Consider the following 12,300-nt stretch of genomic DNA (forward strand, 5'->3'; position numbering starts at 1 on the left):
GACATGGTTTACTGCAGTTATCTGCAGCAAGGAACACTATCAGTGTTTCTACACTTTGGCACATCCAACTTTTCAGCTCAGTGTCTTGAAGCAAAATCTTTCCATTTTGGACTGACCATTTTCCTCATCATAATATTTATGAAATTCAGAACAATAATTCTAACTCAAGTCTGGGTCAGACAAAAATATAATTTTGTTTCCTTTAGAAGGGATAGGTTATCAAATAATTTACTGCAAATATGACACTATTCACTTTAGACTTTTACAACATAATAAAATGGCTTGATACTGTATAAATTTAATTAAGTCTAAATATAACTGAACAAAATGTATTCTGAAATAAAGTTAAATGGTTATCATTTTACACTAAATACAGCAACATTTATAATGTATCATATTAGTTTTATCAAATCCCATATGCTGTATATGACCTGACCAGATTGACTCAGGAACTGTTTCTCCAGCAACACCCATGGCCAGACCTTGAGTAGAAACTCACGTTCACATAAGAAAACCCTTTACACAAAACTCATTTAAGATGCAAAGCTTAAGATATAAATATCATCTGATTATGGTATACATGCAAAGTATGTAAAATTAGACATAGCTCCCAATGACATTTTTGGTAAAATGTTCTTTTCCTGGGTTGTGAAAAGCCCAGTGTCTTAAAAAATTGCTTTGTTATAAGCAAACAAATTTAAAGAAACAGTAATTGAGAGACTACTGATGCTATTTTATACAAATGAATTTTAATATTAAGTATGTAGTACCCTCTTCCTCCTCAACCTGTATCACAAAGAAATATTAGTGTAGACTGTTATTCCATACTCAACAAGATGTATAAAAACATGAAAGGAAACAAAGTAAATTTTATCTGACCCATAAAACAACAGAACCAACATACTGCAGACACTGATCATGCTTTTCAGCTTAAAAGCTTTTGAAGCTTTGAAAATGTTACAGAATAGTCCCTAAAGCAACATTGCTGGCACCAGCAGGATTTCATATTCTATAGTTGTAAATTAAGTTTAAAAACCCTGAATTGTGCTGTGACTCACTATCTACATTTACACAGTTTATTTTTCAGTATCTTAAGTGTGATATTAGGGTCAAATGTCCAAATCCTCCTGCTTTAGGATGTTCTGCATTTATGAAAGTGCTCCAAGCCAAAGAGCAACCTCAGAGAACTAGAAATATTTACCACAGGACAAGCCAAATCCATTATTATATATATATGTATAAAAATGCCTCTTAAAAATGTGTTACGAATACTTAGCCAATTTTGTTTGTGAAAACTCTTGTCTTTTTTGTAAGACAAGGCAAGAGCAAAAACTTCTTAATCCAACTTAAAGTTGTGTCCCCCTAGTCACTAGCAACATTTTAAAACCATTTTTTCATGCATTGACTATGCCAGTAAAAATAATTTTGAAGTTTTTTTTCCAGAAATCTGAGGTTAGCAAGAAAAGAAAGAAATCAAGAAAATCAATCATACCATAGTGTTTTATATAAAAATACATCACTAAAAAGAGCATTTACTCTGTGGGAAATTATCTTAGGCAAAACCGGTTGCTAAATAAGTCAAATCTATCAAATTCACGTGTAATGCCAGCATGTTGCCTTCTAGGGCTTAATGCCATCTTAAAGAGTAGATAAATGAAAAAAAAAGTTAATAGAAAGTAGAAAGTTTAATGGCTTTCCAACCTCCTTCCCTCATGTTCTCTTCTCGAATAATTGGAGATGTCAGTGTGATAGTGACTTGCATTTTGGGTTCCACACATGAATTCAAAATTATTGCCGCTTCAGATACAGCACATTTTATGTCATACTTCTCAGGGCTTATAACCTGTGTAATGAAGATGATAAGAAACAAATTGGATCTGTTGTATTAACAAACAAAAGCACTTTCATTATGGCTCTTTCACTCTCTTACTACCCTAACCATTCTATATGAGGACCAGATTATATACTGCTCCTTCTAGGAAGCCCTGCCGTACATGCCAGTATTATTAGTCTTACTCCCTACTTTCAGAATTCTGTGTTGAACTAATATTTACCATTGTTTGTATTGTGAGTTATTTGTACATAGGTCTATCTCTCTTAGATAATAAATTCTTGGATAAAAGAAACACTGCCATATTTATAACATATATTTGCATAATTTGAATGAAGCTAAAATAGCTACCTGACCTTAATAGGAGCTACAATTTATTCCCATATTGTACATTTTCTGTGAAATACACATTTTATCAGGGAGCAGAAAGTCTCAGTCAATATCCAGAAAAACCAGGATTTGCTGTAATTTGGTAGACAGGTAATAAGCTCCATTTTATACGAACAAATGAAGACTCTACAGAAACTACATACAGTATTTCCAGTATAGTATCTAGGTTTAAATCCTAGCTCTGATACTTTACAGTGATGCGATGATAGACAAATTATTTAACTATCCTGCACCTATTTCTGTAAGATGGAGAAAATAATTGTACCTAACCTATAGGGTGGCTGGAAGATTAAATGAATCAACTATATAAAGCACTTACTATAGTATAAATTAACTATAAATTAATTTTATTTCACTTGCTTATCCACTTATATAGGTGGGTTTGAAGAGTATTCCACTTTTAGCTTAACTGGTTGTTAGTTATTTAGTTATGATATATTCCTTGGTTTGCAGTTTTACTAAGCACCACAATTAGGATCAAGATGTTTCTCGCAAATTCTATGATTCTTCCAAGGCTTCCAAACCTTTTATTTTCCCCCTTCATTGCCCTAGCAGCCTCAACAGGAGTAAGAAGTAAACACACAACACAGCCAATTCTCCTGGCTCCCGATAATTAAAAAAAAAGACTCATCTACAATAAAAAATTTCCCATCTGGAATAATGGTAATATAAAACAAGCAACAGTAAGTGCAGAGTTGTCAGTTTTAAGTTTAATAGTGTGCTTCATTGTCCCTTTTGTCATCAGTTGCTCTGCTACAGTAAGGTACTGTTCTAATTCACTACTGTAGAATACATGTTACCAATGAAAGCTGATTCCTTGAATTTAGAATGCTTTATTAAATTGCTAGTTTTATACCCTCAATTATGAAAGGAATCACTATTTTAAATCTCAGTCATTCTGACAAGCTAATATATAAAATTTTTATAAATTTAAGCTTAAAAAAAGTTTGTTTTTGTAGGACCCAAATAAAATACTCTATTAGTTTTGCATTGCCATGTTTTGCTGGATGGAGACGAGAAGTATTTCCTACCATTATAAACATGTAGAAAACTGAAAATATTCACAATAAAACTGGGGAAATTAAAATCAGAAACACTATTTTAGTTACTACATTTTATTAAAAGCATTAAACTAAATAGGCAAGAGATTCATGAATTAAAAAAATTTAACCTTGCTACACATGGGATTTTTTTTTTAAAAAATCACTTTGTCCTAACAACTGCCTTCTTATGATTCAAGTCTTGGAAAAAGAACAAGAGAAGGAAGGCATATGCTGCAATTTTACATTTTTAAATAAATCAGCAAGATGGCTTCATGCCAAATATAATCACTATAAAACCTAAAAAAGATGAAGTAGAAAATAGTTTCATCAGTTTGCACAATCAAACAAAAAAACTCAATACAGAAAGTCAAGCCAAAATTTTAAAGGCTGGCTTAGGTTTAAACCGAAGCACAGTCAGTCCCGCCAAAAACTTCTGAACCAGACAAGGGGTAAAAATGAACATTTCCATAATACTTACAGCAAGCTGTTTGGGTAGGTTTTCTGCAATACGGCTTAATAATGTCTTTGAAGGTTTCTCTGAGCACAGCAAAACAAGGTTGACATTTCTATCTCCTCGGAGAAGTAATCCTTTTGCCAATACTCCCACTCGCAAAACTCCTTTCAAAGCTCTGCAGTAAAATAAAATTATATTATGATATTTCTCTGCTTAACCAGAAGCATGATATTCTGTAAACATACAATAGTAAGTGAAATAACTTTTGTGCCATTAAAATTTCCATCAACCGCAGTAGAAAGACATCCAGCATTTTTAGAACTATACTTCATTTAAGCAATGTGGATAAAAAAAAAAAATAATAAAGAGCTAAGTTCTTTACAGAAAGACAACTGCAAAGCAATGGACATTAACACTTCTGTTTCTTATTTCACAAGTCAGAATAATAGGAGTTATGTTTAATGTAATACAAAAATATTTCCAAATGGTAAAAGGAAAATAAAAAGTTACAGCTAATAATGCAAACTTGACATAAAGACATTACTAAAGCTTAGGCTTAATCATGCTTTACAGTCAGTGCTTTAAGGAAATAGTTATTAAAACAAAGACTGAGTGTGGGGCAGAAGCAACAAACAAATAAGAACAGAAAAACAGCAGCTGAGTACAACTGTAAAACTATAATGGCTGCTTTGAAATAGACTCAAAATAGTTTATATAAACTTAAAATGAGTACAATTACGAGGTTAGACACTACATGTGTCCGTGGAACTTGTGTATTTCTATTTTTGCAAGCAGCTGCAGAATACATGAAATATCGAACACAGGCATGGTTAAAACACATAGAACTCACACCAGAGTTACCAGTCATAAGCTATATTTCAAATGTAAGAAGTCCACATAAGAAAAACCAAAATTACACATGGTAAATAACTTTCAAAACACACCTGTCTTTACCTCCCTCTTTCTTATCATCTCCCTCTTTGTTCTTGTTCTTCTCATGTTCAGACAAACTGTCTGAAACGAGTTTTAAAGCACGTTCAGTAATAGAAACAATTTTCTGAACTGCCTGTAACTCCTCTTCAGTTGGATAAATGGTGGCATGTTTTGTCATTACATAACGGTCATCAGATGAGTCAGGACGACGTAAGGGCTACAGAGAAACAAAGTTGCTCAATTTAAAAAAAAGTTTCCTGAGCAAAAGCAAATTATATTTTTCAACTATACATATTTGTTGTATCTTTTCAATAAGAAAGCCTTTATCTTCTTTTTTCCATTTCAGTAAAAACGAAAATGCAAACTATGGAAAGTTATACCATCAAGACTATATGTATGTATGCATGCATGCATGCATGTACACCCACTTTGCCTCAAAACAAGTAACATTTCTAATACATATAAACCTAAAGCTATGAAAATGCTCTTTACTCAACCTTAGAAACCAGTGATTCTGAAACTTTCTTTGCTTTCAGTAATTCAAGTCTTACAACTGCCAACCCTCTGAGCAAAGATAAATGAGAGAACAGGTTAAGGAAGAGAAGTCTACTTTTTTCTTGTAACTGCTCTATAGAGAAACAAATCTTGTTTTTGGTAGACTGAACTTACACAAGATGTCCCTTTTACCCAGCTTCTGCATCTCTCAAGATGCAGATTTTTCCTATAGTCTTAATAACACATCAACTCTGGGGCTTATCTTAAAACCATTTTATCTACCCCTTATCTTTCACTCAATTTAGAAGTAGTAGGTTTTGGATGGTCAAAACTGGAAGAAGGAAAAAAGATTCTAAGCCACTGGTAATGGAAAAATAAGAATAAATTTCTTTCTATTAAAAAAAAATTTTTATAGACACTGGGTCTCACCATGTTGCCCAGGCTAGTCTTGAACTTCTAGCACCAAGCCATCCTTTCACCTTGGTCTTCCTAAAGTACTGGGATTATAGGCATGAGCCACTGCACCCAGACCAGTAAGAATAAATCTAAATACAAAGCAGTTGCCTTCAACATCAGTTGTTTCTGACAGGTATAGAGGCTCATGCCTGTGTACCGGCTACTCGGGAAGCTGAGGCTTCGGTGAGCTATGATCATGCCACTGCACTCCAAAGGAAAAATAAGAAAAGAAACAAGAAAAAAAATTAGTTGTTCCTGCTCATGTAAGGAAAACCAAAGGCAAGAGTCTCATGTGAAAGAACAGTTGGCATAAAAAGCTCCGTTCCCGTTTAGCATATACCGAAAATAAGAAAGATTCCCAGAAATTCTATGAGGTCCTTATACAGAAGACACAGGAAACATATTCCCTTCCTATAAAAAATGGAGGAAAGATTCTAAATCAGATTAAAAACTTGTATCAAGCTGGGTGAGGTGGCTCATGCCTATAATCCCAGCATTTTGGGAGGCCCAGGCGGACGGATCTCCTGAAGTCAGGAGTTCAAGACCAGCCTGGCCAACGTGGCGAAACTCTATCTCTACTAATAATACAAAAATTAGCCAAGTGTGTTGGTGAGCACCTGTAATCCCAGTTACTTGGAAAGCTGAGGCAGGAGAATTGCTTGAACCTGGGAAGCGCACGTTACGTGCAGTGAGCCGAGATCACGCCACTGCACTCCAGCCTGGGCGACAGAGCAAGACTCTGTCTCAAAAAAACTACCAAGATTACAAGATTATTAAGTCTAAACATTAGCCCCTCCAAAATTGTTTTCTTCTAATGCTGAACCAGTCAAACTTTCACCCCTTGTATCACCAACGTGGACACTCACTGCAGGCCCCTGAGGCTGAGGAGGCATGCCTGGTCGGACTCCCAGAAGGCCTAATGGGCCTGGAGGACCATGAGGATAACCTCCATCTGGCATTCGGCGGCGATCATCCCAATGATGTTGTTCTTCCTCCATTCTCCTCCAGTACATGTCCTCTTCATAACGTCTGAAACATAAAGAATGACATTATAAGCATATGAGGAAAAATACAGCCCAAGAACTTGCATCAATAGTGACATAAAAAGCAATAAAAAACCCCACCAACATCAGCCTAGCTAAAATTTCTTCCCAAATGTATCTGATTTTCCATGTTTGCTTTCATTGCGAAGTAAATGAAAGAGAAAAGAGCATGAAAAGCAGAAAATTTCAGCCTGAGGAAAAAGTAAAAAGAACAGGCATCAGAAACCTCAGTTTCTTACCTCTCTCCTGCTTTAAGTATGAATTAGAAACCCAATGCCACCTAAAGGAGGCAGGCCAACACTGTGAGTAAATGACCTGAAGTGCACAGATCAACATTTGGGAATTTTCTTCATGTCCTCAAAGAAACATGCTCTTTCCTATGTCTCTACTATGAAGAAAAACAGTGCAAGGCAGTGATAAATGGCAAGTCATAGTCAGTCTTACTGTTGGGGACACATTAAGGGTGTTGGGAATTATGGTAAAGAACTTGTCCTGGCTAGAGATAACAGCTGCTGCAACTCAGCTCCTATTAATTGTTGCCATAAGGGAATACAATAGTCCCCACCATTCTCATCGCCGTGGTTTCAGTTACCTATGGTCAACCACAGTATACAAATATAGAAAAGAACGTTCCAGAAAGAAACAATTCGTAAGTTTTAAATCTTGTGCAATTTTGAGCAGTGTGATGAAATCTTGCGCTGTCCAGCTCCATCCCACCTATGAATCATCCCTTTGTCCAGCATGTCCACACAGTATACACCCTACTAGCCTATTAGTTGCTTAGTAACTAACACCGTTATCAGATGGAAAACATATAGCATATACAGGGTTTGGTACAACCTGCGATTTTAGGTATCCACTGGTGGTCTTGTAACGTAACCCCCTTGGACAAGGAGGGACTACTGCACAGGCTGTGTTGCTGAGGTCATCAGGATTTTTGTGAAACTTCACGGTTGCTGGTTCAGATTACAAAATACTATGCATACCAAATATAACACCTCTGAGCTGAACTCAGAATGTGGGCAGCTAGTGTACAGCCTCTGCTTTACTGACCAACATATGCGAAATCTACTCTTTTTTTTTTTTTTTTTTTACCATCTCCTCCCCTCTGCCCTCCCAGTTCTTTCCTCATTTTCAACTTCAAACTAGGATACCAATAATTCCCAAGGGAAACCATGTGTCTACAGCAAATTCTGTTAACAATTAGGTTAAGGTTTTACTAATGTCATCTGTTAACATATAAGAAAGAAGTGCGCTTCCTGACTACCATTACAGAAACTACCAATTTCCTCAGGTTGGGAATAAGCAGTGCTTTTTTTTCCCTTAAATTGGCAGAGTCCCACTCTGTCACCCATTGCAGTGGCCTTGACCTCCCATGATCAGGTGATCCTCCCACCTCAGCCCCCCAAGCAGATGGGAATACAGGTGTGCACCACCACGCCCAGCTAATTTTCGTATTTTTTGTAGAGATGGGGTCTTGTCATGTTGCCTAGGCTGGTCTCAAACTCCTGGGCTCAACTGATTGCCCGCCTTGGCCTCCCAAAGTGCTGGGATTACAGGCAGTGTGTCACCGTGCCCAGCCAGCAGTGCTTTTTAGGATTAACCAACTAGGGACTGATAGAAACCATTCTTCTATCTATGTTATTTAGGCTTTGAGGAAAAAATGAATAAAAACAGCTTAAACGTTCTGGAAAATCCTGTTCGTTTCAGTTTCTAATAGTTTACTGTTGTTGCTAACAACGTTTAAGTCAAATAAGGGCAGGGACCTTTATCCATTGTTTACCAATTTGTGCTCACTACCTAATACAGTTCCTGGCACACTGTGGATGCTTAATAGTTGGTATTATCAGTGAAAGAGGAAAGCACTGTATAATCTAGCTATAGAAGAGAATTCCCAATATGTTACAAAGGCAGAAACTTCATAAAGGACATAACTGATAAATGTGTAAAAATTAAAACCAACACATACATAATAGTAAAAACTATTTAAAGGTAACCCATAAAAAGGATTATTAATAATAACAACGTAAGAAACGTCTGTACAAATCAACACATAAGAAAAAACAAGCAATTTACCACAAAAGAAGTATAAATAGCCAAACATGAAAACAATTCAAACTGAAACAAAATGGCTATCACATTTAATTGGTAGAGATTTTATTAAGCTGTAGCAGGGGTTCTCCAGGTGCAATTCAGGGACACCAAGTGGTCCCGGAGACCCTTTCAGGAGATCCATGGGGTCAAAATTATTTTCACAATAAGGCCAGTCGTGGTGGCTCATACATGTAATTCCAGCACTTTGGGAGACCGAGGCGGGCAGATCACTTGAGGCCAGGAGTTTGAGACCAGCCTGGTCAACCTGGTGAAAGCCCATCCCTACTAAAAATGCAAAAATTAGCCAGGCGTGATGGCAGGTGCCTGTAATCCCAACTACTTGGGAGGCTGAGGCAAGAGAATCACTTAAACTCAGGAGGTGGAGAGTGCAGTGAGCCAAGATCGTGCCATTGCACTCCAGCCTCGGCAACACAGTGAGACTCTGTTTAAAAAAAAAAATTATTTTCATAATAAATACTAAAGACACTTACTTGCTCTTTCATTCTAAATGTACAGTGAAATTATCCAGAGGCAACATGTGTTATTCACCACATATGAACACAAAAGCAAACATGAGAATCTTGCTGCCTTCTGTTAAAACCAGACATTAAAGAGATGTACAAAAATGTAAAATAGCATAACTTTTCCCACTATTCTGTGGAATAATTTTTTTACTGTATTTTATTGATTAAATATATCGTGTAATATTTTAACAAATATACATGTAACCATATTTCAAAAAATAATTAAAATGTCATTTTAAAATGAATTAACAAATATTTAAATTTCTTAGTTTTAAATTTTTTTTTTTTTTTGAGACGGAGTTTTGTTCTTGTTGCCCAGGCTGGAGTATAATGGCGCGATCTCGCCTCACCGCAACCTCCTCTTCCCGGGTTCAAGCAATTCTCCTGCCTCAGCCTCCTGAGTAGCCGGAATTACAGGCATGCGCCACCACGCCGGCTAATTTTGTATTTTTAGTAGAGATGGGAATTTCTCCATGTTGGTCAGGCTGGTCTTGAATCCCGACCTCAGGTGATCCACCCACCTCAGCCTCCCAAAGTGTTGGGATTACAGGTATGAGCAACTGTGCCCGGCCAGTTTTAATTTTTAATACAGTAAGTCTTGACAGGTATAACCCACATAAGGACTCTTTGGAGTCCTTGATAATTGAGGATAAAGGATCCTGAGACCAAAAAGTTTGAGAACCACTGAGTTATGCTATCCAGTATAGGCAGACATGTGAGCATCCTTCAAACATTTCCATTTCCCATATTCTATTATTAGCAACTAACGATAATGTATGCAGTAATATCGCCTCAATAGGTTCACATACTTGGTGAAAGAAACAAAAAAGTGCCTCAAGGAGGGTCAAGATATTAATAACTATAATAAGGAAACACTGGAAACTACCTAAATATCTAAACAATAACAACAAGGATTGGTTATGAAGAAAATTTTACATATGCACAAAAATTACTATGTCCTCATGAAAAACAAAATAATCCGAATTTAGTTTTTAAAGTTGAAGGTATGTAAATGAAAAAAGTGGATTATGAAAATACGTGTATGGTATGTTTCTGCTAAAACTGTATTTTAAAAGTTATACAAAAATATTCACAGCAGCAATACTCATAATAGTCAAAATGTGGAAACAAGTTGCATGTCCATCAACTAATGAACGAATAAACAAAATGTGGTACATAAGGATGTATTATTCAGTATTATTTAGTCATAAAAGACAATGGAATACTGAAACATGTTACAATCTGGATGAACCATGAAAACACGCTAAGTGAACGATGCCAGACACAAAAGACCATAGACTGTAGTAAGTTGATGCAAAAATAATCGCGGTTTATACCAAATGAATTTATTAATTCAAATCGTCATCTGGCACAAACCGCGATTACTTTTGCATTAACCTAATATGACTCCATTTATATGAAATCTCTAGAATAGGCAAATCTATAGAGACAGAAAGGTTAGAGGTTGTCCAGGGCTGGGGCTGGGGGAGATACTAGGTATGTGGGACACATGGGGAATTATTGTTAATGGGTACGTGATTTCTTTTGAGGGTGATGAACTGTTCTAAATTGATTGTGGTGATTGTTACACAACTCTGTCACTGTATAAGTTTAGAAGATATGTTATATTTCAATAAAACTTAACATTTGTATCTTTATATATATATAAACAAATATTTGAAATATGTTTTCTCAATTCTCCTTCCCTGTAGCCACTAAAGTTTCTTTATGGACATTATTAACATGTAGAATCTATCAAATCTTATACTTCTATCAGGAAATGTATGTCTATTTTGCTTGTTTGAAACCGAGGCACTTATTTATAATATGAAACTATTTCTTCATATGTTTAATTTATAAAAGATGCCACTTAAACATATAACTCTAATACCAAGGCCACAGTAAAATATTAGTATAGCCAGTAACAATTTTAATGCATGTCTTTCCTAGACCTAGGATCTTCCTCAAGAGTGAAAATTGGAAGTAAATAAATCTGGATTGCTTTGAATGGGAGTCACATGCTCAGAATGGCTAAGTTTTTAAGAAAGGCTGAACCACTTACCAGGCTATTAAAAGTTAAAGATATTACCTCATTTCCATTCTCCAACGCTCCTCTTCTTCTCGTCTTCGCCAGTACTCCTCCTTCTGCATTTGCTTCCTCATTTTCTCTTCTTGAATCTTTCTTGCTCGAATACTAGGCTTTACTTCTACTTGCAAATCTGGATTTACTTTTTTCTATTAATATAAATAAGACATTTAAAAAACAGCAGCCCCAAAACAATCTACATGTATTTTTAATCATACAATTACACTTATTCTTTAATCACGGAGGCTTTTAGTTGCAAGTTTCCCACTAGAGAGTAAAATCAATATAATTAAGGTAAATCAGAGAAAAGATTCAAAATACATTAATAAAAATTATGTAAAAAGTATGTAACTTAGTGCTGACCAACAAAAAGTCATGAAATCCTTAGAAAAACTAATGGATATTTAATTTTACTTTACATTTGACCCTTGAACAACAGGGGTTTGAAGTATATGAATACACTTACATCTATGCTGCTGAGTTTCTTCTCCCTCTGCCACCCCTGAGAGAGTAAGACCAACCCCTCCTCTTCTTCCTCAGCCTACTCAACTTGAAGATGATGAGGATGAAGACCTTTATATGATGACCCACTTCCACTTAATGAATAGTAAATATTTTGATTTTCATATTTTCTCAATAATATTTTCTCTTCTCTAGCTTACTTTATTCTAAGAATACAGTATATATGAGATACATGACATACCAAAAATGTGTTAACATAAAAATAACTGTTTATGTTATCAGTAAGGCTTCTGGTCATTAGTAGGCTTTTAGAAGTTTTTAGGGAGTCAAAAGTTATAAGCAGCCTGGAGTCCCAGCACTTTGGGAGGCCAAGGAAGGCAGATCACTTGAGGCCAGGAGTTTCAGACTAGCCCGGCCAACATGGTGAAACGTTCTCTAGAAAAATACAAAAGCTAGCCAGGCATGGTGGCACATGCCTGTAGTCCCAGT

At 35.9% G+C, this 12,300-nt stretch overlaps 1 protein-coding gene and 1 non-coding gene across 3 annotated transcripts in view; both read right to left on the reverse strand.

Moving 5' to 3' along the window:
• Positions 1 to 12,300, reverse strand: part of ZFR (zinc finger RNA binding protein) — a 90,391-nt gene that overhangs the window by 29,457 nt on the left and 48,634 nt on the right. For both annotated transcript variants that reach the window (NR_144318.2, NM_016107.5), the window contains exons 11-15: positions 11,353 to 11,498; positions 6,469 to 6,631; positions 4,663 to 4,868; positions 3,743 to 3,893; positions 1,702 to 1,843 (exon numbers count right to left, since the gene is read on the reverse strand). Coding sequence is in view for 1 of the 2 variants with exons in the window: in NM_016107.5 (NP_057191.2) it covers positions 1,702 to 1,843; positions 3,743 to 3,893; positions 4,663 to 4,868; positions 6,469 to 6,631; positions 11,353 to 11,498 (808 nt within the window). In the remaining variant the exon portion in view is untranslated. The remainder of the gene's footprint in view (positions 1 to 1,701; positions 1,844 to 3,742; positions 3,894 to 4,662; positions 4,869 to 6,468; positions 6,632 to 11,352; positions 11,499 to 12,300) is intronic.
• MIR579 (microRNA 579) lies at positions 10,572 to 10,669 on the reverse strand. The gene has a single exon (NR_030305.1). It is a non-coding gene; the product is annotated as a microRNA 579 (primary transcript).

The sequence above is a fragment of the Homo sapiens genome, chromosome 5 (genome assembly GCF_000001405.40).
Source record: "Homo sapiens chromosome 5, GRCh38.p14 Primary Assembly".
NCBI classification, from domain to species: Eukaryota; Metazoa; Chordata; class Mammalia; order Primates; family Hominidae; genus Homo; species Homo sapiens.